Source organism: Homo sapiens, chromosome 4 (genome assembly GCF_000001405.40).
Source record: "Homo sapiens chromosome 4, GRCh38.p14 Primary Assembly".
NCBI lineage: Eukaryota > Metazoa > Chordata > Mammalia > Primates > Hominidae > Homo > Homo sapiens.
In genome coordinates this window covers 76238566-76265109 of record NC_000004.12, presented here as the reverse complement: position 1 = coordinate 76265109, position 26544 = coordinate 76238566, and the positions used below count along the sequence as shown (strand labels likewise).

Here is a 26544-nt window from a genome sequence, read left to right as displayed (position 1 = left end):
AAAACATATATAATGTAATGCAGTAGATTCCCTCTAAATCCACCTCCACGTAGGTAATGTGTGTGACCAACAAGCTCTACATGGCCCCCACCAAACACACTGACCACAGTCCACACTCCTCTAAGTGTCTGGGTACTGTGGATAGGCTACTCTCTAGTTCACCGTACTCTTCAGCACCCATCAGTGAGGTCTTTAATTTCAAAAGTCAAATGTAGGCCCGGCCCAGTGGCTCATGCCTGTAATCTCCACACTTTGGAAGGCAGAGGTGGGCAGATCACTTGAGGCCAGGAGTTCAAGACTAGGCTGGCCAACATGGCGAAACTTTGCCTCTACCAAAAGTACAAAGATTAGCCAGGTGTGGTGGTGGGCACCTACAGTCCCAGTTACATGGGAGGCTGATGCATAAGAATCACTGGAACCCAGGAGGTAGAGGTTGCAGTGAGCCAAGATTGTGCCACTGCTCTCCAGCCTGGGAGACAGAGCAAAACTCTGTCTCAAAAACAAACAAACAAACAAAAAATGTGTATCCCAAATCTATTTGTGTCCAGTAAACTTATCACTGCGTTTATGTTATTTAATTAAATATTATATTGACTGGGGAATCAAGAATGTGTTACAAAAGGGAGGTGCTTTCGTTAAGCTTAATGCTTTGAGAAGGGTCAATGAAGGTAGTATTACAGGTATGGTTTATGCAAAAAAGATGGGTGGAAACTCCAAGCAGTAGACCTATACTCAGAAAAAAGGCTTAGGTCAGGCATGGTGGTACATACCTGAAGTCCCAGCTGCTCAGGAGGCTGAGGCAGGAGGATCATTTGAGTCCAGAACTCAAGGCTGCAGTGAGTTGTGATCTCTTCACTGCCCTCCAGCCTTGACATTTCTTGGGGCACAAAGGATGATACCCCAAAAGTATGGTGCTTTGGCATGCTGAGCACTTTTGAATTAAAGGAAATTGGAAAGCCTTAGAAGCTGCCTCAAAATCAAGGATTTTCTAACCTTCACTGTTTCTACCCCTCAAGCATAGGGAGGGACTCTCTCTGGAATTTCCTTATAGACGCCTGTGTCTGCGTCGTCGCTGGATAAATCACATCCCTTGAAGAAATAAGCACTATTTAGAGCGGTACCTAGGACTCCTTTCCCTCTTCCTTGGGAACTTAGTTACATTTGCTTCATTAGAAGTATTCTAAAGATGAGAAGTTTTAAGAAGGTAATTCCTAGAATGTTTCATCAGGTGACAGCAATGATCGAAGGGTTAAGAACAATACTCACGGTCCCAGGTAGACTTGGGTAGAATGTTTTTTTAAAAGCTTCGTGGGTTCCTTCATTCCTTTCCTGGTGTCCTGACAATAAGCCCATGTGTCCTCCAGCTTCCGGTCAGGATCAAGCACTTCCAGCACCTTTGATAAGAGCTACAAACAGAAAATAGTCTTAGAGGAAAAGAAAAACATGCTGAAGAAGGGAGTCCCCATTCTACAACAAAACAGACCAACTTGCCCTTCACTTTTCCTTTTCAGTCCATCAGTGCTGTTCACCAACTTCTGTGCCAAGTATTATGCTGGGTGCTATGGATAGATTTGGACCATATCCCAAAAGGCATAATCCCAAATGTTAAAATCCTAAAAGATCATAATCCCTAAAGTCTAAAATCCTCAAAATCACAATCCCCAAAATTAAAATCCCAAAACTATAATTCTGAAAAAAAATTGCAAAAAAAGTATTTTAAAGGCACTTAAATTTTTAGATGGAGATTTATTTGAGAAATGTAAAAATGAGAGAACACTTCATTGGCCATTTTACACAACGAATTAGGCAATAACAATATACATAGTTTTGCAAGCATAAACAGTCAGGTGTACTAGCAGTCACATGGCTATAATATGAGCAGGGAAACCATATTCATGAAGAAATAGCTCAAAAAGTGATATGTATAAACGCATACCACTATGTTTGGCAATTGTGTGCACTCTGCTTTATAATTTCAGTCATCTGAAACACAGTGATGTACAACCTAAGCCTTTTGACAAAATCAATCAAAAAGCACAATGGGGCCAGGCACAGTGGCTAAGGCATATAATCTCAGTGCTTTGGGAAGCTTACGCAGGAAGATGGCATGAGGCCAGGAGTTTGAGACCAGCCTGGGCAACATAGCAAGACCTCTGTTTCTATTTAAAAAATTTTTTTAAATTAGCCAGGCATGGTGGTGCCCTCCTGTAGTCCTAGATACTTGGAGGCTAAGGTGAGAGGATCCCTTGAGCCCAGGAGTTTGAGGTAACAGTGAACTATAATTGCACCACTACACTCCAGCTTAGGTGACAGAATGAGAACCTGTCTCAAAAAAACAAACAAAAAACAATCATGATGGGACACCACTCTATGTGCAGTTACCCAAAGAACCAAGATATCAAAAAATGTTATCTTTCACAAATACAGATGAACAAAAAAGGACATCTCTTCATTCATTGATGAAGTTTCAATGTTTTTATGTAAATCCACAATGCTTACACACAAAGTTAGTTTTGTGACAATGCATTTTCATGAAGTCGAATTTGCAAAAAAGGCATGAAATGAATTAGAGCTCTATAAAAGTCTTTACACAATGTACATCTCCAGCATTAGAAATGATGCAAAGATGAAACACATAACATAGTGAATTGTAAAAAATAACACTTACAATTTAAAATAGTGTGGGGGGCACTAAAAAAAAGCTAAGAAGAAAATTCAACATGTTAAAAAATGTATAAGAGAGATAGATTATGGGCAATTACACAGAGGTATTCCATAAGAACTGGCAGGCATTTATGATCATTAACTATATTTTGAAGTCTTGCATCATAGTAAATAGTTGCTTTTTTTCTTTTAGGGCTCTCCTTGGAGAATACGTTCATATTCATTTTCTACATGCACTGCTCTTTTTAAAATTCTTCTGTGATTCAATATACACTCACGTGAGTACTCCCTATTACATTTTCCCCTCTTCTGTGCCATACTTCTATGTTGTTCTGGGTATAGGGAAATCCATTCCACATATACTCATATACAGACCCCAAAGTTGGCAGAAACAATACTGGTGATCCAGTAGCAACACCATCTTCTTATCTTACTTATCCTATAATTATTTTTGAACCAGTCAGTAATATCACTGATCTCTTCAGGCAGATGCAGCTTTAATTTATTAAAAGCTCCTGGAATTTCAGCAGCTGTAAGGAATGCTAATGCGAACAAATGACACTTGTTTTCATGTTTATTTTTTTCCTTAAAAAAAAACTTTTTATTTTACCTTTTAATTCTTTATTGTAGATTCGGGGGTACATGTGCAGGTGTGTTACATGAGTATGTTGTGTAATACTGGGGTTTGGATTTCTAGTGAACCCATCACTCAAATAGTGAACATAGTACCCCATAGGTAGTTTTTGAATCCTCAACACCCTCCTAACCCCCCTTTTTGGAGGCCCCAGTGTCTATTATCTCCATCTTTATGACCATGTATACCCATTGTTAAGCTCCCACTTATAAGCAAGAACACATGGTATTTGATTTTCTGATTCTGAGTTATTTCACTTAGGATAATGGCCTCCAGTTCCATCCATGTCGCTACGATAGACATGACTTCATTCTTTTTATGGCTGCACAGTATTTCATGGTATATACATACCACATTATCTTTACCCAATCCATCATTGATGGACACTTAGGTTGATTTCATGACTTTGCTATTGTGATAGTGTTGTGATAAACATATAAGTGAAGGTGTCTTTTTGATAAAACAATTTCTTTTCCTTTGGGTAGATACCCAGTAGTGGAATTGCTGGGTTGAATGGCAGTTCTATTTTTAGTTCTTTGAGAAATCTCCATCTTGTTTTCCACAGAGGTTGAGCTAACTTACAGTCTCATCAACAGTGTATAAGCATCCTCTTTTCTCTGCATCCTTGCCAATATCTGTTATTTTTTTTATTTCAATAATAGCTATTCTGACTGATATGAGATGGTATCTCGTATCTCATTGTGGTTTTAATCGGCTTTTCTCTGATGATTACTGATGTTGAGTATTTCTTCATATGTTTGTTGGCTGCTTGTATGTCTTCTTTTGAGAAGTGGCTGTTCATGTCCTTTGTACACTTTTTTTTTTTTTGAGACAGGGTCTCACACTCTGTCACCCAGGTTGAAGTGCAATGGTGCAATCACTGCAGCCTTAACCTCCTGGGGAGACTTCATGGCTTTGCCTACTTTTTAATAGAATTGTTTTTTCTTGTTGAATTGTTTACGTTCCTTATAAATTCTAGACATTAGTCCTTTGTCACATGTATAGTTTGCAAATAGTTTCTCCCATTCTGCAGGCTGCTGTCTGTTTACTCTGTTGATAGTTTCTTTTGCAGTTCAAAGTCCTTTAGCTTAACTTTCATTTGTCTATTTTTGTTTTTGTTGCATTTGCTTTTGAGGTCTTAGTCATAAATTCTTTGCCTCAGCCAATGTCTGGAAGAGTTTTTTTGTAGGTTTTCTTCTAGAATTTGTATAGTTTCAGGTCTTACATTTAAGTCTTTAGTCCACCTTGAGTTAATTTTTGTATATGGTGAGAGATGGGGACACAGTTTCACTCTTCTGCATACAGCTAGCCAGTTTTCCCAGCATCATTTATTGAATAGGGTGCCCTTTTTCCATTGTTTATTTTTGTCAAGTTTGTCAAAGATCAGCTGGTTGTAGGTGTGTGGCTTTATTTCTGGGTTATCTATTCTGTTCCATTAATCTATAGGCATATTTTTGTACCCATACTATGCTGTTTTGGTTACTGTAGCCTTGCAGTATAGTTTGAAGTTGGGTAACATGATGACCCCAGCTTTGTTCTTTTTGCTTAGGATTACTTCGGCTAATCAGACACTTTTTTGATTCTGTATGAATTTTAGAATTGTTTTTTCTAATTATTTGAAAAATTATGTTGGTAATTTTACAGGAATGGCATTGAATCTGTAGATTGCTTTGGATAGTATGGTCATTTTGACAATATTGATTCTTCCTTTACATGAACATGGAATGTTTTTATATTTATTAGCATCATTTATGATTTCTTTCATCAGTGTTTTGTAGTTCCCCTTGTGGAGGTCTTTCACTTCCTTCATTAAATGCATTCCTAGGTATTTTAGTTTTTTGTGGCAATTGTAAATGATATTGAGTTCTTGATTTGGTTGTCAGCTTCAGCATTGATAATGTATAGAGACACAACTGATTTTTGAACATTAATTTCATATTCTGAAACTTTACTGAAGTCGTTTATCAGGTCTAGGAGTCTTTTGGATGAATCTTCAAGGTTTTCTGGGTGTAGGATCATGAAATTATTCATTTTTAAACTCAAGTTTCTGTCATTGCCAAATCTCATGACCAATCCATTCATCTGAATTTCTGCCACATGTGTTAGACTACATGAAAAAAAATTTTTATTGATAACTCTTTCAGGTTCACTTTTAGAAGCTTTGATTACACTTAATTCCAAACCTGTCATTTTGGTTTGGGAGTTCCAAGAAATCCATTTTCTTCTGCACAGTCCACCAAATCTTCAAATAAGTGATTATAAAATACTTCATTTGTTTCCAGTCATTAATATATAAAGAAGTAGATAAGTTTTAGAATTTCCAGATCCAACAGGGGCATGAATTGTATATCACTGATTTTAAAAAGTAGGGACAGTCTTGAAAGTGCCATCCAATAGCCAAAGCGAAACACGCACTAGTTTTTCTATGTTAGATTTAGTGGTAAATATAAGAAGTCTATCTTTCTTGACAGTCAAATCTTTAACCAAGAGTAGTTCACCATTTTATGTGGTTATGACATTGGAGGAATCTCAATATCAGCAAATGTCTGGTTCAGAAGGTTGCTGAGCTTGTCAAATTCTTTTAATTCTCTGACAAACGGTGTCACATGCTCGAAGGCAACCACGGTGTTATATGTGAAGAGGCATAAATTGTACACAATTGAATAATTTGGCAGAGGAGATCTCTTGTATTTTTCACCTGCATTTTCACTTACTCTGTGATCTCTGAAGCACTGAAACACTGAGGGTAGATCTTTCTGGCCTGCTCCACTCAGACTCACATACTAATCTCCTCTGGGGACATCCTCTCAGACACATCCAAAATAACACTTTACCATGTTTCTGGAAATTCCTTAATCCAGTCAAATTGACACCTAAAATTAAGTCCACAAGTCCACCTCTTGTCAGGTTGACACTTATACTCATCTCCTTAAACCATATTTAATTTCCAAATAAGGACAATAGCAAGGTAATAGGTCCACCTACCACGATGCAACTATCCTGCATACAACCAAAAACACACTAATCCCTTCCCCAGAATTTGGCTTTCAGGATTTCAACATTCAGGAATTCAATCTTTCAGGATTGTGATTTGTGGGATTTTAGACTTTGGGGATCTCAACATTCACGATTATGATGTTTGGGACTATGTCTTTTGGGATTATAATCAGCACCACTTGGATAAACCTCCCATCACCTGGACACTGGGTACACAGTCTTTTACTAAAGTTCTACTTCCTCTAGAATGGAATATGTCTCTGGGCCTACCCCTGTCCCCAAATGCCCCACTGAGTGAAGCGCCTCTAAAGGATTTCTGTGGTTTTTGACTGCCCACTGTCTACTTTCCCTCGCATGAATATCTGGATTTTTCCTTGGAGAACCACCTCTCTCTCCACTCTCAACCTGCATGGTCTGAATTAGCCTGACCCCATCCTCACTCCTAAGGCCGACCAAACAATCAGAACCACAGTGACTGACTTTGGAATAGACACATGATCAAAGTTGGATCCATGATAATTAGGCTATGGAAGTTTTCTGGGATCATGCAAAAAGGTGCATTCTCTTTCTGCTGGGGTTGCTAAGTGGGTAGGGCTTAAACCTGGATCTTCTGATGGCCACCTTAGCACCATAAAAGATCCTGCTTCAGCAGGAAGCCAACACACCTATTTGCAGAAGTCACACATGGAAATAAGCGCCACAATCCCAAGCCATGCTCATGTGCCATCTGAGGTGTGGAAACAATCAATCTCTTTGTCATGGACTCAGAAGTTCTGGCCTGCAGGAGGCAGTGAGGGAAAGCCCCAGAGAGAAATTAACTGATCAGCAATTCTAGCTGTCCTTTCTGTAGACTTCTCTCCCACCGATCATTCATTTATTCATTCATTCAAAATTATTTATTGAGTGTCCGCCATAGGACAGGTATTGGTGGTACACAGTGAAAGACACAAATAAAGTCCCTGCCCTTATAAGCTTTCATTGTGGGAGGAGCTCAGTGGTGGCAAGTGCTACAGTGAAAAGTAGGGCACAGTAAGGAGTAGATGTGAGGGTGGAAGGGAAGTGCTATTTTATACAGGCCTCTCCAATCAGGAGACATTTGAGCATCGATCTAAAGGGAGTGAAGGAGTAAGCCAAGCAGCCGTCTGGAGCAAGTGTTCAGGCACCAGAACAGAGAGCTGAATTGGACATGCTCATAATGTCGATGGAGCAGCCAGGAGGCCAGAGTGGTTGGAGTGGCAGGAGCAGGGGTGAAGTTGGAGAGGGAGCAGAACAGGGGTACTGTGGAGAGCAGAATGCCAAGGCCTTTCAGATCCCAGCAAGAACTCTGGCTTTCTCTGAGAGAGAAGGGGACACTGGAAGGCTCTGAGCAGAGATTTGCCTTTCTGAACCATTGTCTCGCTCTCTGTGTAGAATACAGGCTGCAGGGATGCGGATGGAGTTGCAGTCACTGCTAGCTCCCTGCCCAATATCCATTCTACCTTTTCTCTTTAAATCTAATAGAACCTGGGTTTTGCTCAGGTTCAATGCCCAACTCTGAAACTCCATTTGCTAGACTCCCTAGCAACTAGGAGTAGTCAGATGAAAGAGATGTTTACTGGGAAAGCTATTATTTGCCTAATTAAAAGACAGAGTCAGCTGGCATGCACCCTTTAACCTTTGTCCCTTCCCTCTTCTTGTCTGAAATACAGACTCAATGCCTGGAAGCATGGAAGCCACTTTGAGATACAAAGACGAGAGATGCATACTAAGGATATAGAGCTAAAGTCAGGAGAGGCCTGGGACATTGGTGACATCACAGAGCTGCTGCTGTCCAGCCCTAGTCTGGACCATTAGGAGGATTTTCCCCATGACCTTTCTGGTCTCATTCTTTCCACCCATTAGTAAGTATTTAAGGGCACTTCCTAATACCAGGCTAAAGTGACAAAAATAAGACTAGACAATTCCCTCTCATTGTTTCCTCCTCTCCCCAAAAAGTCACAACACAAAGTACAGTAGATGGGTAGAAATTATGGGGAATAGAAGTCATACGTTTCTGGTTTGTGGCATCTTTGTAAATTGAAGGGCTTCACAGGAAGCAAAGAGAGCAGTGTGCATGTTGCTGCTGATTGTGTTTTCTGGGAACAGAGGACAGAAGGCTGCTCTGAGGCCCATAAGAACTCGCATCCTGGGGGAGACATTCATCACTCCTCTTATAAATATGTCACCCTCTCATGGGGACTTCCTAGACATTTAGATAGAATTATTTGCAAGGCCCCAGTGAAGCCCCTCCCACAAACCCTAGGACACATCACCTCTATGGGCATAGCTTCTTCCAGATTCAGGTAGAGCGCTAAGGGATGTGGGGTCAGGTGGGCCTCCACGTCCTCCAGGAATGCCTTCCGAGCCTGCTGGGCTGGCGAGAGCTTGGAAAGCACGTCTGCTTCCTTGAGCAGCTTGATCTGCCTCTTCTTTGGGGCCAGTTGGGGAGCTCTGTGATAAATCTGGGGCAGAAAGCCCTCCACAGGGACCTGAGTCACCAGACCAGTGCAAGGCGGGCAGCCCTTCCTGAAGTCGTCCAGCCCCTTTCTTGGAAATACCAACTGCCGGCTGTGCAGAGAGGTGGGGAACTTCAGCCCGTTCTTGTGCTTTGTGAAACATCTGGAAGGTAGATAGATTCTCTTTGTACCTAGAATACCACATGCCTGTTCATATTAACCACAGGACTTGGGTGGGAGAAGGAGGTAGTAAAAAGGCTGGTCTCCAGCTTTTAGGGTTGGGGGTAGGGGAAGTGGGATTCACTGGAGAAGCTGGAGTTAATCATATTCCTAGTTCATAGCACAGAATTGCTGCTCCGTACAAAGCCCCTCTCTTGCTTTCTTGTCTATTTTATCCCCACATCCGACTCTCACTGGTCTCCCTTGCAAAAGCAAAACTGCCCTAGTGGATTTGGAATATATCCTTTGTTTGTACACATCCTTGAAATTCTGAAGCATCCTTATGTGTGCATGCACTCTTAATTTACGTAAATGGCACTATTCTGCTTCTTGTTTACCCAGCACTATATTTTAAAGACCCTTCCATGTCACTCTATGTAAATCTAATTCATTATTCCAACTGCCGCCACCACATTTCATCTCTCCATTCGCTTTGTGAAGGACACTCAAGTTGTTGCCTTTCCCAAGGACTCTCTCTCTTCACTAAAAGGGACAGAGTGCAGTTGAGCGGGAAGAACCTGGATCCCACTGACAACTCAGCCCCTAACTAGCTGAATGGCGTTGGCTCTTCATGTAACCTCTGTGGGTTCCCCCTAAACTCAGGGGATCAAAGGCTGCAAAATGGCTGTCCATGGGCTACATTGGGCCAACAAACCTGTCATTTGGTCCTCCTTGTGTTTTAATAAGAATCATAATAGCTAACATAAATTGAGAATTTTCAACATAACAGACACTGTTCTACTGTTCTAAATGCTTTACACATACGAGCATATTTAAATCTCATAACAACCCTATGAATTAGGCACGAGTATTATTCCCATTTACAGATAAGAAAATTGAGCACAAAGAAGTTAAAAAACAAAACACTTGTCAAAGGTCACACAGCTAATAAATGGTAGAGCTGGGAGTTTAACCCAGGTAGGCAGCTCCAGAAAAAGGTGCTTAATCACTCTACTGGAGTTTATGATAAATAAAAATGTTCACATAAATAATCGGGAAAAATGGCTCCTCTTGAAAAGCCAGATTTTTCAAGATCTGTGAAAAGTGGGTCCACTTATCCAAGGAGCCCCAATTGGCATATTGGTTGCCCACTGGAGACAAATCATCTGCTCTCTCATTCACAACCTCCACCTCTCCCACCGCCATATATATAGCTGCTTCACTCAGCCTCCTTATCCACCAGCGCCCTGTTAGCATTGAGTAGTTAGGGCATATAGATGAGATGGAAGAGACAGATGGGCAAACAGGAAGGAAAATAGAACAAGCTCCTGAATAACCTAACACAACCAGCGAACACCAAAGCCACGACTTGGAATCTGAGCGTCTCATTATCCTCACATATTACAGTGCCTTAGTTAGGTAATTCTAGAGTCTTTGTGTCCTTCCCTGAAGCCTCTTCCACCTTCAGACCCCTTTTATCTATAATGTCTTTTTACACCAAATCTAATCCTTGCTACACCCATTGCTACAAAGTGTTTTTAAGAGATTCCAGCCTGGCCCCAATTCTTCTCTAGTGAGTCCTAGAAACTTCTTACTTGTTGCATAGATGTGTAGGTGTTGTTTTAAGGGCTTAACCCAACTCTACTGTGAAGATCTAGATGAAAGGACACAAAAAGATGAACTTAACAAAAAGTTACTCTCTGCATTTAACAGATCACTCTTAAATAGCTAAATGGCAGAAAGATGCTGAAATTACATCTAATCATAAGATTAATGACCCATTCAGCATTACTTATTAGTAAGTAACCCTCCATATTAAATGTCTTTACAAAGTTCATTATATGCACATTTACAACTAACTCATGCATCCAAGCACTTCATGAAATCAAATCTGAGAACAAATATTTTTGTTTAAGTACAGCCATACAACTCAAAATGGGGAATGTACGTGGCAGTGAGCTGAAACTTCATAGAATGTTAGAACTGGCAGAGATCCTAAAAGAAATCCAGTCTACTTTCTTCACTTTTCTTTTTCTGTTTTTTTTTTTTTTTTCAAGACAGGGTCTCACTCTGTTGCTCAAGCTAGGGTACAGTGGCAATTATAGCTCAATAGCTCACTGCAGCCTCAAACTCCTGGGCTCAAGGGATCCTCCAATCTCAGTCCCCCAAGTAGTTGGGACTACAGGTGTGCGGCACCATGCCTAGCTAAATTTTTAAATTGCTTTTGTAGAGAGAGGAGACAGGGTCTTGCTATGTTGCCCAGGCTGGTCTCAAACTTCGGGTTCAAGTGATCCTCCTGCCTCCGCTTCCCAAAGTGTTGGGATTACAGGCGCGAGCCACTTTCCTCATTTCTTTCCTTTCTTTTTTTTTTTTAATTCGAGACAGGGTTCCACTCTGTTACCCAGGCTGGAGTGCAATGGTGTAATCTTGGCTCACTGCAACCTCTGCCTCTCAGACTCAAGTAATCCCTCCACCTCAGCCTCTTGAGTAGCTGGGACTACAGGCATGTGCCACCATGCCTGGCTACCGCTTTCCTCTTTTTAATAAGGAAACTAAGTTCCAAGAGGAGAGTAAGGCAACCAGTGTAAAGGGAGGGCTTTCCTCTCCCCCACATGGCCTCTCATAGTTAATAAGCTTACCATTCTGCATTATGTTAGGTTCAGGAAAAATCTTGCTTGGCCCATAAAATAAAACTGGAAACAATTTTTCTAAATATTTACTGTTTTCACAGACACTAGTACATGATATATGGATATTTCCCTCTTTAAGAATTGCAAAAGGATACCGGACATGTATCCTAAAGAAATGAAAAAGTATGTTCTCAGAAAATTCTGTACACAAATGTCGATAGCAGCTTTCTACATATTAGCCCCAAAACTGGAATGTCCAAAACAACCTGAATGTCCTTCAACAAGTGAATGGATAAACAAACTGTGGTACATCCACACCAAGGAACACGACTCAGCAACAAAAATGAACTACTGATACACACAACTTGGATGGATCTCAGAGGCTTTATGATGAGTGAAAAAGAGCCAGTCTCAAACAGTTACATACTGTATTATTCTGTTTATCTAACATTCTCAAAAGAACTAACTTACAGAAATGGAGAGCAGCTTAGCGATTGACAAGGCTGGGGTGGGAAAAGAAGTGACAGCAAAGGGGTAATACTAAGAGTTCCTCTGTGGGGAAGGAACAGTTTTGTATCTTTATGTATACATATGACCAAATGTTACAGAACTCACACACCTGAGTGCAAGTAAGAGCTGATAAAATCCAAGTAAGGTCTCTAGTTCAATTAGCATATTCTGCCAATGACGTTTCCTGGTTTGGCAATGTGCTATCGTTATGTAAAATGGTACCACTGTAAGCAGCTAGGGGAAGGGTACATGGGACCTCTGTACTATTTCTGCAACTTCTGGTGAGCCTACAGTTATTTCAAAACAAAATTTTTAAATGGGGGGGAGAAGCTTCCCAAAGAAGCTCTTATGAATAACTGCTAGAAACAACTATGAATAATTGCTAACATGTACACGATACGTTCTATGTGCCAGTGACAACTTTACATGTGCTATCTCCATTAATCCTCACGACAATCTTAGAAAGCTGATTCCTAAGTTATTGCCCCATTTTATAGTTAGGAAAGTGAGCCCAGAAGGAGCAACCAACTTGCCTAAGGTCACCAGGCAAACAAGAGGAGAACTAGCCTTCTACTCAAGCCTTTCTGATTCTAGACTTTGGAATCTTCACCACCACATCGTGCTGTCTCCAAGACAGACGAATTCCATTCTCAAAAGATTGTCAAGGAGTCGGTAAAGGCAAAAACCTTCTTGTTCCTGCTCTGAGGCTACCACAACCGTACAAAATGTTAGCAGACCTCCCTAGCACCCCAGGCGCTCCCCCAACCCTGGGCTCCACTTGGCCACAGCCGCCATCTGGATACCAAAGGCTCCAGGGGCAGCAGATGCCTAACATCGGATACAGGGCTCCAGGCGCCCCGGGGCATCTGGCGAACAGTTGGTTGGCTAGGCCGGAAAAGGGTGGGTGGCTAGCAGGAGGGCACCAGCCTCCGCAGCGGACTCTGCGGCCATCACTTTCCCATCAGAAATGGGGATATTAGTCTACATCCCTGGGGGCGTGGGAGGCGGGGGTTGTGAGGATGACAGCAGGAAAAATCCTTTGCAAAGAGCAGCGCCAAGCGTTGGTTATCTCAGCGTATTATGTTGTACGTACAGGAAGCATTGAGGAGGGAAGGCAGGCTGGACCTCTCCCCTCGCCCCCGCCCCAGCAAGCGCGGGTCTCCAGGCGCCCCCGCGCGGCCCGCGTGGGATGCGCCCTCGGCCCGGGCGCTGAGTGTTTACCTGGACCTGCAGTTCACGCCCTCGCGCACCGGGGCCAACGTCCCCGGCCGGAGCCGCCGCCTGCGGTCCGCCATGGTGGCCCTAGCTTCGCGGCCACCGTCCGGGCTTGGGCGGTGTGTGTGCCCTGCTGCCGCCCCGTTGCTAGGACACCGCACAACCACCGCTGCCGGTATTTGCCCCGGGCGCCTGGCAACTCTGACGCCCCGCTGCGCGGTCCAACCCCTTCTCCGACGCCTGGGGACGTGGACCTGGCCGAGGGAAGGGAGAGGGTACCGGTCCTTGGTGTAATCACGTTTTACTCTGCTGGGAAGGCGTGTTCATCTTCCCACCGAAACGCGCCATAGACTGGATCAGGCGTTTTTTGCTCATCATCGTTTCAAAAAACGTTTACTGAAGGAAAGAAAGGAAGAAGGCAGGAGGAGCGATAAAGAGATAGCAAGAGAAAGAGGATGGAAAGTGGGGAAAATGAATAGATTTCTAAAGGTTGGGAAAGCCTTTTAGCAGGGAGATGTTTTCCTGGAGGTCTTGGAACTCTCTTGGTCTCACAGCCTCTGTAAACCGAGGGCTGCACACCTGTCTCTAGTCCCCAGCTGATTTCCAGAGGCCCTTCCAGCTCCTGTGTTGATTCTTCTGCCTCGACTCACTTCTAGCAGACAAGTACCATCCAGCTGACCCTGGTAGGCACGTGGCCACATAATACGGATTGCACGAGGGTGTGTTTCGTTTTTACTAAATTCTTATGCTACTTCTGAGTGTTTCTGATTTAAATATAAGCATTGGTTCTGCTACTTAATAATTATGCACTCCTGGGGGCAGGGTACTTACATTTTTAAGCTTCATTAATTACCTGGCCTGAAAATGGGGAAAATAATAGTATCTACCTGTAGGGTTATTGGGGATATTCGATGAATATAAAGAAATTAACACAGTGCCAGCATTTAAGAATCCCTCAAGAATTATTATTATGCAAGTACTATTATTCCAGCTGTGAACCGGGGGTGGTAATATTTGTCCTGACTACTTAACAGAGCTGTTGTGAGTTAGTTAATGGAGAAAGCTATGTAGGTAATCATTATAATTAGCCCAATTGTTATTTTTATTTTCTTTGATATTAGTCCGATTGTAATGCAAACTTTTTATTACTTTGAGGAGGTAGGGTTTCTGTAGAAATTCTGTGAGAACTGGGCCAAAAGTATGGTTATCTAGGCTGAATGGAGTCCTGCAGGAATGATTTGTAACAATTTGCCCAAACAATGCTTGATTAAACTAAAAAGCTTCTACACAGCAAAAGAAATAATCAGCAGAGTAAACAGCCCACAGAGTGGGAAAAATCTTTGCAATCTATATATCCAACAAAGGACTAATATTCAGAATCTACAAGGAACTCAAACAAGCCAGCAAGAAAAAAACAAGCAATCCCATCAACAAATGGGCTAAGGACATGAATAGACAATTCTCAAAAGAAGATATAAAAATGGTGAACAAACATATGAAAAAAGGCTAGATATCACTAATTATAAGGGAAATGCAAATCAAAACCACAATGTAATACCACCTTACTCCAGCAAAACTGGCCATAATCAAAAAATTTAAAAAATTAGATGTTGGTGTGGATGTGGGGAAAAGAGAACACTTTTACGCTGCTGGTGGGAATGTAAACTAGTAAAACCACTATGGAAAACAGTGTGGAGATTCCTTAAAGAACTAAAAGTGGATCTACCATTTCATCCAGCAGTCCCACTACCTGGGTATCTACCCAGAGGAAGAAAAGTCATTATACAAAAAAGATACTTGCACACACATGTTAATAGCAGCACAATTTGCAGTTGCAAAACTATGGAACCAGCCCAAATGCCCATCAATCGATGAGTGGATAGAGAAATTGTGGTATATATGTGTATATATACACATATATATAATGGAATAACATTCAGCCATAAAAAGGAATGAAATAATGGCATTAGTAGCAACTTGGATGGAACTGGAGACCATTATTCTAACTGAAGTAACTAAGGAATGGAAAACCAAACATTGTACATTCTCACTCATAAGTAGGAGCTAAGCTATGGGGATGCAAAGGTGTAAGAATGATAAAATGGACTTTGGGAACTTGGGGGGAAGGATAGGACGGGGACAAGAGATAAAAGACTACACATTGGGTACAGGGTACACTGCTTGGGTGATGGGTGCACCAAAATCTCAGAAATTGCCACTGGAGAACTTACTCATGTAACCAAAAAAAAAATAAATAAATAAACAAATAACGGATGCCCAGAAATATTCTGAAGGAGGCATTTTACCGGAATCTCCAAAGGTTGTGACAAAAAGAAGAAAAAGCTGACTACAATTTATATATCAGCAAGCAAGAGGTAGAGTTTCCTAAGATGGCTTTCTATATATTTTCTACAGCTGCAATAATCCTTTTAAAAATATTTAGCAAAATAATATGTTGGCAAATTATCACTCTTAAATAAACAAACAAATAATAAATAAACAATTTGTCCATATGCCTAGGGTTTCTACCAATTCAGGACTGCTTTCCCATTTCTCACCTTAAAGTTCTATTTTTTTGTTTTGTTTTGTTTTCTTTTTTGAGACAGAGTCTCACTCTGTTGCCCAGGCTGGTGTGCAGTGGTGTGATCTCAGCTCACTGCAACCTCCACCTCCTGGGTTCAAGCGATCCTCCTGCCTCAGCTTCCCGAGTAGCTAGGATTACAGGCACGTACCACCATGCCGGGCTAATTTTTGTATTTTTAATAGAGATGGGAGTTTCACCATGTTTGCTAAGTTCTATTGTTTTTGTTATTCAAATGCTTGTTTTTCTGGAATATATAATAGTGTTTGAAAATACTATTTTATATATTTGAATAATCCTTTTGGGAATGAAATGGCCAGCTTACCTGGCAAAAAGTCTAGAAATAAACACCTGGAAAATCACCAACCTCATTCTTAAATAACATATACTCACTTGATTACTGTATTTAATACATTTCACCTTTGAGTTGAGAGAGAGAGAGAGAGAGACTGAGAGATTCTCTAAGTAATGACTACAATTATGGTATGCAATGTATGGAGTCAAAATTACCATATAGAGCAATTATCAACTTGTGATGATGCAGATGTCATGAAAATAGATGGTTTCTTATTTATTTATTCAGCAAACACTAGCAACAAAGTACCAAGGTGACGAGGATCAGGTCTGTTTTCTTCTCCATTGCATCTCCAGTGCCTAGTATGGTATATAACAAATCAATAGTTGTTGAATGAGTATATAATGTGTGTCAGGCACAGTACTAGGAACAAGATGGACAAGATCCCTACCCTAAGTCTTGGAGAAATCCTACCTACATGCAAAATAATGAAGTTGGGCCCTTATACTGTATACAAAAATCAACTCAAAACAGCTTAGAGACCTAAATTTAAGAGCTAAAACTACAAACTTCTTAGAATAAAACATAGGGACAAATCTGCACAATTTTGAATTTGGCAATGGCTTCTTAAAATGATACCAAAAGCCAAAGCAACAAAAGAAAAAATAGATAAATTGGACTTCATTAAAATAAAAAACTTCTGTATATCGAAAAACATGATCAAGAGAGTGAAAAGAGGCCAGGCGCGGTGGCTCACACCTGTAATCCCAGCACTTTGGGAGGCTGAGATGGGCGGATCACGATGTCAGGAGATCAAGACCATCCTGGCTAACATGGTGAAACCCCATCTCTACTAAAAATACAAAAATTTAGCCAGGCGTGGTGGTGGGCGCCTGTAGTCCCAGCTACTTGGGAGGCTGAGGCAGGAGAATGGCGTCGACCCAGGAGGTGGAGCTTGCAGTGAGCCGAGATTGCGCCACTGCACTCCAGCCTGGGTGATAGAGCAAGACTCTGTCTCAAAAAAAAAAAAAAAAAAAAAAGAGAGAGAGTGAAAAGATAACCCACAGGAGATAATCTTTGCACATCATATACCTGATAAGAGTTTAATATCCGTAATATATTTAAAAACTCCCACCACTCAACGACAAAAAGACAAACAACCCAATTAAAAAATAGACAAAATATTTGAATAGATATTTCCCTAAAGAAGATATACAAATGGCCAAAAATCACATCAAAAGATGTTCAACATCATTAGTCATTAAGGAAATGCAAATCAAAACCACAATGAGATACTACTTCACACCAATTAGGATGGTTATAATAATAAAAACAAACGAATAGAAAATAACAAGTGTTGGTGAGGATGTGGAGAAATTAGGACACTCATGCATTGCTGGTGGGAATATAATATCTTGCAATTGCTGTGGAAAATAGTTTGGCAGTCCTCAAAAAGCTAAGCAAAGGTTTACCATATGACACATCAATTCCACTCTTAGGTATATACCTAAAAGAATTAACAACAGGAACTCAGATATTTGTACATCAATGTTTATGGCAGCATTATTCACAATAGCCAAAAAGTGATAAGAACCCAAGTGTCCACCAACAGATGAATTAATAAACAAAATGTGGCATATACATACATGGAAAATTATTCATAAAAAGAATGAAATTTTGATAAGTTATAACATGGATTAACCCTGAAAACATGCTAAGTGAAAGAAGTCAAATGCAAAAGGACATATAGTGTATAACTCCATTATATGAAATATCTAGAATAGGCAAACTCATGAGACAGAAAGTAAATTAGAGATTTTTAGGGACTGGGAGAAGGAAGAAATGAGGAGTTAGTGCATAATGGATACAGAGGTTTTTTTGGAGGATGATGAAAAAATTTTGAAATAGTGATAATGATTGCATAATATTGTAAATGTAATTAATGCCACCAAATTATAAACTTTAAAAGAATGGTTAAAGTTACAAATTTCATGTTACATATATTTTGACACAATTTTTTAAAGTTGTAAAAAATACCAAAAAAAGAAGGAAATTTGAAAATTAATGAGCTAAGAATCCAACTTAACAAATTGGAAAGATAGTCAAATAAATCCCAAAAGAAGTATGTTTTTAATGTTGAGCAAAAGAAGCCAGACGTCAAGAGTATACACTGTGTTCCTATTAACATGAAGTTTTAAAACAGGCAAAATTAATTTATAATGATAAATGTCAGAATTGTGGTTACTTGGCGGGTAACTGACAAAGAGAAGGCATGAGGGAGTCTGCTAGGAAGATGCAAATCTTCTACATCTTGATCTAGTTGGTGGATATGTTAGTACATATGTAAAATTTTAATGAGCTATACACATCAGATTTGTGCATTTTACTATGTAAGTTATTCAATAAGAGAAAAGCAAAAAATGCAGCATTTTCCATCAGGAAAATAATCCTAGAGAAATCTCTACCCCATTATCACATAAAGAAACAAGCTTCCTGGGAGCCCTAGGGCACCCTAAAGTCTGCAGACTTTCCCCTAAACATTCCTTATTTTGTGGTACTCATCCAGGGGAAGGATATTTAAAATATTTAACAACCAGTAAAGCATATACACTAACCAATCAGGAAGATGGCCAGCCAGATTGCAACAACGGAGTCCTAGAGTCCCCTAATCATAATGGCAATACCTTCCTTTAGTTGCTGATCTTGTAGAGAGTGGCTGGAGCCACCAGAGCACAGCAGTCACTCAGAATTGCTCAGAGCAGTGGCTATTTACCAACCAACACAGTGTTTTGACAACCATTATAGTCCTAAACCTTGCTTACCAGCTTACTGTCAACCTTCTCCCTCACCCACAGAATCTCTCTAGAGATTTTCCTGCATAGTGTTTTAAGTGGCTTCTTGAAAACTGCCCTCAGTGTAGACTACACCTGCAAACCAAATAACAATGGGGGTAAAGGCATGACACCAATAGTCAACAGGAGCATTTCTCACTTGGTCAGTAGCATTGAGCATGATGGCAGATAGGGGATTACAGATAAAATTGACAAGGTTCCTGCCCTCAGGAGGTTATGGTTAAGTGGATGGATGGGTCCTTTAGTTCGGTCAGGCTGCTAGATTTGAGGAGATGCCTGAGCCATCTGCAATAGGCTAGACACACTTAAAGGAAGATAGTGGAGATCTGTACCTCCACTCTTTGTTGAACAGTGGGCCATGAAGAGTAGATGGGATGTAGGGATACATTGCTGGTGGGAGTGTAGCTAGAACAGTTATTAGGAGAACAATCTGAAAGGACTTAGTCAAACCAAGTATATGGTATCTGCTGGCTGATTTGTTCTTCACTGCCCCTGCCTGCTCTGCCCTGGCGTCAGCAAGCTGCACTGGGGGCTGGGTTCGGCTAGTGGAAAGCACTAATAGGAGATTGGGGATGGAGGAAGGGAACAGTCAGGCTATTTTTCTCTCTCCATCTCTCTCCTATTTATAGAGGCATCTATATTTCTTCCTTCTCTTGGAGCTCCCACCAGGTGCTATGATTCCGGCTTTTGTCACATGACTCAAACTCTTGGTTCCAAGCAATTCGTGCAGTTTAGGTGTGGTAGGGGTTTCCTATTATTGCCAGTCTCTAGATTACCTATGTCCCCTGTTTGGCTCTCAGCTCTTTCATCACCTCTGTAACTATTCCCTGCATTAAAATCTTAGTTTTACACACTTAGAGTGGCTTCTGTTTTCCTGGTTTTACTCTGATACGTATGTTACTTATGACTCAGTATTTCCACTGCTAAGTATAGGAATCCAGAGGAATTCTCACACACAAGGCAAGACGTATGAGGATGTTGCTGCAGCATCGTTACTAGTGTTGGTGAGTTGGGGGCAATGTGCATGTCCATTTCTGTGAAATGAGTGGATAAAATGGATGGATAATTAGGCATCATTAGAAGCAATAGTCTAGATAGATACTCAGCAACATGATTAGACTTTTAAAAATATATTGCTGAATGAAGAAAAACAGAATGAAACTTTTACTACAATGTGGTTTATATAAAACTGTGCATAAAAAACAAAAATGTACCTCTTATAAGAATTCTGAGAGAAAACATATGTCAACACTTAATGACAGGCCAGGCGCAGTGGCTCACGCCTGTAATCCCAACACTTTGGGAGGCCGAGGTGGGTGGATCACGAGGCCAGGAGTTCAAGACCAGCCTGGCCAAGATGGTGAAACCCCGTCTCTACTAAAATACAAAAATTAGCTGGGCACAGTGGCAGGTGCCTGTAATCCCAGCTACTCAGGAGGCTGAGGCAGGAGAATCACTTGAACTCGGAGGGTGGAGGTTGCAGTGAGCTGAGATCACGCCACTGCACTCCAGCCTGGGCAACAGAGTGAGACTCCATCTCAAAAAAAAAAAAAAAAAAAAAAAAAGAAGAATGCCTGCAAACAAACATATGAAAAAATGCTCATCACTGGTCATTAGAGAAATGCAAATCAAAACCACAATGAGGTACCATCTCAGGCCAGTTAGAATGATGATCATTAAAAAGTCAGGAAACAACAGATGCTGGAGAGGATATAGAGAAATAGGTATGCTTTTACACTGTTGGTGGGAGTGTAAATTAGTTCGACCATTGTGGAAGACAGTGTGGTGATTCCTCAAGGATCTAGAACTAGAAATACCATTTGACCCAGTGATCTCATTACTGGGTATGTACCCAAAGGATTATAAATCATACTACTATAAAGACACATGCACACGTATGTTTATTGTGGCACTATTCACAATAGCAAAGACTTGGAACTACCCAAATGTCCATCAATGATAGACTGGATTAAGAAAATGTGGTACATATACACCATGGAATACTATGCAGCCATAAAAAAGGATGAATTCATGTCATTTGCAGGGACATGGATGAAGCTGGAAACTATCATTCTCAGCAAACTATCACAAGAACAGAAAACCAAACACCACATATTCTCACTCATAAGTGGGAGTTGAACAATGAGAACATATGGACACAGGGAGGAGAACAACACATACCGGGGCCTGTCAGGGGTTATGGGGCTAGGAGAGGGATAGCATTAGGAGAAATACCTGATGTAGGTGATGGGTTGATGGGTGCAGCAAACCACCATGGCACATGTATACCTATGTAACAAACCTGCACGTTCTGCACATGTACCCCAGAACTTAAACAAACCTAAAACTTAAAAAGACATACAACTTTAAAAATACTTAAAACAAAAAAACATAAAAAGAATGACTGCCTATGGAGAGGGCAGAGGAACAGAAGTGGAGAATAGGGATGAAAATGAATGAATGAATAAGAGAGGGTCTTGCATACAATTGATAGTGGAGTGCCATGAATTTAAGATTAAGCAATGCTCTGCACCTGAAGTAGAAAACAAAGTTGCCAGAAAAATAGTTACTTGGTGGCAATGAGATACAATTCAAAGAATGCTTTGTGGGTTATGAAATACTAAAATAATACCTGCCCCAAATCCAAGTTAGTTTGCAGTAATAGGAACAAAATCATGGGAGAGATGGTGAAACAAGACCCAGAGCTAGTATCAGGTACTAGATAAAGCAGGAGGTGTTGTCAAAATTCCATGGCAATTTTATGTGAATCTTGCTGATTTATTTGCCAGCTATATCAGACATGAGCAGAGATTATGATTTGGTGTCTTGTGGCTTAATATGTGTTTTAGTCAGTCCAGGCTACTATAACAAAATACCATAGACTGAGTGGTTTATAAGCAACAGAAACAGTTCTGGAGAATGGAAGTCTGAGATCAGGATGCCAGCATGGTCGGGTTCTGGTGAGGACCCTCTTCCCAGATGCAGACTGACTACTTCTTGCTGTGTTCTTACATGGCAGAAAATAGGGCAAGAGAACCCTCTGGGGTACATTACTAATGCTGGGCAACTCACTGCAGTCTACATCTCAGCGTTTCTCCTTCAGTAAAATAGACCTAACAGCAGTCTATGTTATAAGATTGTTATGGGATGCAATATGGGAATAATGTAAAGCTACACTCTCTAATAGAAGTATAATGCAATCCACAAATGTGAGCCACGTAAGTATACATTTTCTAGTAGTCATTTTTAAAAGTAAAGAGAAACAGATAAATTAATTATAATAATATGTCTTATTTAGCTCCACATAAAAAATATGATTTTAACATGTAATCAACATAAAATATTACTGAGATATTTTACATTCTTTTTCATACTAAATCTTTAGAGTTTGGTGTGTATTTTACTTTCAGCACATCTTAATTCTGACAAGCCACATTTCAAGTATTCATTTGCCACATGAGGCTGGTAGCAACCATATTAGACAATAGAAATAATAAGTATTTAGCCAAGTGCCTAGCACAAAGAGGCACTCAAGGAATATTGGCTCAAACACATTCCTTAGGTGTATTAGGTCATTTTTACATTGCTCTAAAGAAATATTCAGGCTGGGTAATTTATAAAGTGGTTTGTTTGACTCACAGTTCTGTAGACCATAGAGGAAGCATGGTAATGGCAACTACTTCTGGTAAGGGCCTCAGGAAGCTTACAGTCATGGTAGAAGATGAAAGGGGCACAGGCATCTCACTTGGTGACAGTGGGAGCAAGAGAAAGAGGGAGGAGGTGCCACACATTTTTAAACAACCAGAACTTGCGAGAACTCACTCACTATTGCAAGGACAGCACCAAGCTATTTATGAGAGATCCACCCCCATGACAAAATACCTCCCACAAGGCCCTACCTCCAACACTGGGGATTACATTTTAACATGAGATTTGGAGGGGACAAATATCCAAACCATATCACTAAATTTATCCGTAAGTTTCCTGTATTCCTTACCCTATTATAAGCATAGAAAAGATCTGTTGGCAACACAAGCTTGAAATCACATATAAGCCACATACTTCCTCCATTTCAGCTATTCTTGTCCTTTTTTCTCCAGGAAATAAGATGTTCCCCCTTTCTCCTTCTGATATGAGAAGATACTTGTTAGCCCTCAAGCTGCTCAGATGAGGGACTTTCCTGCCGAGAACCAACGTGAAGAGTGCAGCTTCTATAAAGGATTTCACTGGATTTTTGTACTAATGAACAAATTTTATTTGGATGAGTAGATATTTAATGTGCTGTTATTACCACTGGAGTTAAAAGTATATTATAAATTCTTATGTCTTTAAAACTAGAGAGAGGATTCTGGGAAGATGGCAGAGTAGAAAGCACCAGGAATCCGACTTCCCACCTAAACAACTGTTCTAGCAGCATCTGTCTGACACAACTATTTTAAAACTTTGGGGTCTATTGAAAGCTAGCAACTTCTAGGGGAAAAGTTGTACAGTAAGCTGCAGTTAATTTCAGTGAATTTCAGCACAGTAATAGCCAATAGTAGCCAAACCCTACTCCTCAGCCCTGTGTCAGGCAGCTGTGTATGTGTTCCTGGACCAGTTTGCACACAACTTGCTGGAATCAAGGTTGAAAAAAAAAAACTGTCCTCCAAATATTAGGGCTCTGATTGCTGATTGTTGCTTTACAAAGGTGCAGAAGAAGAAATGACAGCCATTGTTTTGTTGTTGCACCTTCCCCCCCATTGTGGCAAACTCCACCTCCTCTGGCTGAAGCACCTTCCAGGGGATTTAAACGATGAGCCTTTTTCTGCCCTTCATTTTTCTCTTTTTCTCCATTTTTGGAAGCCAGACATTGAAGGCTATGACATTCAAAACAACTGTATATACACTTGTTACAGAAGATATTAGAAAGTCACTGTGCGTGCCCAGGGACAGGCTTAGAAAAGACCCAAGAAGACTGTAAGCTTATATTTCAGGCTAATCCTCAGCACAGAGACAGCCTATAACAATAAAAAACAAAAAGCTAGTAAACCCTGGGGAAGGAAAATAATCTGATTTTCAGAATTACCAGATTATTAGATTCAAAAGTCTAGTTTTCAACAACAACAACAACAAAAACAAAAACACAAGAGATACAAAGAAACAAGCAAATATGGCCCATTCAAAGGAAAAAATAAACCAACAGAAACTGTCCTTGAAAAGGATCTGATGGAGGATCTATTAGACAAAGACTTTAAAACAACTGTCTTAAAGTTACCCAAAGAACTAAAGGAAGATGTGGAAAATGTCAAGAAAATGATGTATGAACATAATGGAAATATCAATAAAGAGAGAGAAAACCTAAAAAGAAACCAAAAAGAAATTGGTTTCCAGAAATTTTCTGGAACTAAAAAGTACAATAGCTGAAAGTTAAAAAAACTTGCTAGAGAGATTCAATGGCAGATTTGAGCAAGCACAAGAATCAACAAACTTGAAGAAAGGACAAGGAAAATTATTGAATCTGAGGAATATAAAGAAAAAAATTGAAGAAAACAGAGCCTAAAGGACCTGTAGGACATCGTCAAACAGCCCCACACAGGCTTTATGGGGAGTCCTTGAGGACAAGTAAGAGAAAGGGGCAAAGAGATTATTCAAAGAAATTATGACCAAAAACTTGCCAAATTTAATGAAAGACATGAATATAAATATCCAAAAAGCTCAATGAACTCCAAGTAGGATAAATTCAAAGACACACCAAAAGTATTACCATCAAACTATTAAAAGCTGGAGACAGAAAATTTTGAAAGCCGCAAGAGAGAAGTGATCATCACATATAAGGAATCCTCAATAAGATTATCTGCAGATTTCTCATCAGAAACTTCAGAGGCCAGAAAGCAGTAGGCTGATATAAAGTGCTAAAAGAAAGAAACTATCAACTAAGAATCCTATATCCAGCAAATCTTCACTTCAAAAGCTGGAGGATTCACACTTCTTTGTTTCAAAACTTACCACAAAGTTACAGCGATCAAAACAGTGTGGTACTGGCACAAAGACAGACATATAGACCAATGGAATAGAACACAGTCCAGAAAAAAACCCTCTTAGCACAAGGGTGCTAAGATTATCCAATGGGGAAAAGATGATCTTTTTGACAAATGGTGCTGGGAAAATTGCCACATACAAAAGAATACAGTTGGACCCTTACCTGATACCATTTACATTAAATTAATGCAGACTAGATCCATAACCTAATGTAAGAACTAAAACTATAAAACTCATAGGAGAAAGCATAGGGCAAAAGTTCACAACATTAGAATGGGCAATAATTTCTTGGATATAACATCACAAGTACAGGCAACAACAACAACAAAAGAACACAAATTGGATTGTATTACAATTTTAAAATTTTGTGCATCAAAAGTACTATTAACAGAGTAAAAAAGGCAACCCACAGAATGGGAGAAAATATTTGAAAATCATCTCTAATAAGGGATTAATATCCAGAATATAGAGAAAACTCCTAAAACTCAACAACAACAAAAAACAACATGATTTAAAAATGAGCAAAGGACTTGAATAGACATTTCTCCAAGAAGATATACAAATGGCCAGTAAGTACATGAAATGATGCTCAACATCATGAATAATTAGGGAAATACAGATCAAAATAACAATGAGATACCACCCCACCCTTATTAGGATGGCTACTATTTAAAAAATAATAATTATTATAAGTGTTGGCAAGGATGTGGAGAAATTGGAACCCTTATGCACTGTTGGTGGGAATGTAAAAGGGCACCACCAGTGTAAAATGGTGGTTCTTTAAAAACTAAAAGTAGAATTACCATATGACCCAGCATTTCCACTGCTGAATATATACACAAAAGAAGTGATAGCAGTATCAAAGAGATATCTGTACATCTGTGTTTATAGCAGCATTATTCACAGTAGTTAAAATGTGGAAGCAGACCAAGTGACTATTGGTGGATGACTGAATAAGCAAAATGTGGTAAACACATACAATGGCATATTATTCAGCCTTAAATAGGAAGGAAATTTTGATATATGGTATAACATGGATGAATCTTGAGGACATTATGTTAAGTGAAATGAGACAATAACAAAAAGGCAAATACTGTATTATTCCACCTATATGAGGTACTTAGAGTAGTCAAATGGTGGTTGCCTGGGGCTGAGCAGAGGGAAGAATGGGAGTTATTGCTTAATGAATACAGTTTTGCAAGATGGAAAGACTTCTGGAGATGGGTAGTGGTGATGGCAGCACAACAATATGATTGTACTTAATGCCACTCTACTGTACACTTAAAAATGATTAAGATAGTAAATTTTGTGTTATGTATGTTTTACCACAATTAAAAATTGTGGTAAATAAACAATAAAGTTTTTTTAAATGTTGTCTCTGTACCTAACATGACTAAGCACCCTCCTATTCTCCTTCCCATCACATCTCTCCTAGATTATCTTGGGCATCTGAACCTAAGCAGGTGCAATAGTTTCATTTGATTGCCCCCTTTAAGTCCGCTCCTTGTTGGACTC

General features: G+C 40.1%; 2 protein-coding genes and 1 long non-coding RNA gene across 6 annotated transcripts in view; 1 reads left to right on the top strand and 2 right to left on the bottom strand.

Moving 5' to 3' along the window:
• Positions 1-13389, bottom strand: part of FAM47E-STBD1 (FAM47E-STBD1 readthrough) — a 59410-nt gene extending 46021 nt beyond the window's left edge. The window contains exons 1-3 of the mRNA NM_001242939.2: positions 13290-13389; positions 8587-8932; positions 1267-1406 (exon numbers count right to left, since the gene is read on the bottom strand). Coding sequence (NP_001229868.1) covers positions 1267-1406; positions 8587-8932; positions 13290-13363 — 560 coding nt within the window. The 5' untranslated portion in view covers positions 13364-13389. The remainder of the gene's footprint in view (positions 1-1266; positions 1407-8586; positions 8933-13289) is intronic.
• The window catches only part of FAM47E (family with sequence similarity 47 member E), a 69744-nt gene that overhangs the window by 18674 nt on the left and 24526 nt on the right, over positions 1-26544 (bottom strand). Inside the window, exons 1-3 of one of the 2 annotated variants that reach the window (NM_001136570.3) lie at positions 13290-13389; positions 8587-8932; positions 1267-1406 (exon numbers count right to left, since the gene is read on the bottom strand). In NM_001136570.3, coding sequence (NP_001130042.1) covers positions 1267-1406; positions 8587-8932; positions 13290-13363 — 560 coding nt within the window. In that variant the 5' untranslated portion in view covers positions 13364-13389. Of the gene's footprint in view, positions 1-1266; positions 1407-8586; positions 8933-13289; positions 13390-26544 lie in introns of those variants that run through there. The other variant, NM_001242936.1, reaches the window with a different exon arrangement.
• On the top strand, positions 13433-26404 carry LOC105377286 (uncharacterized). 3 transcript variants are annotated; one of them, XR_938897.4, is made up of 3 exons: positions 13433-14002; positions 19940-20015; positions 23112-26404. It is a non-coding gene; the product is annotated as an uncharacterized LOC105377286 (long non-coding RNA). The 3 variants fall into 3 exon arrangements; XR_938896.4 differs by having other exon boundaries at positions 13489-14002; positions 19945-20015; XR_007058143.1 differs by lacking the exon at positions 19940-20015 and having other exon boundaries at positions 13489-14002.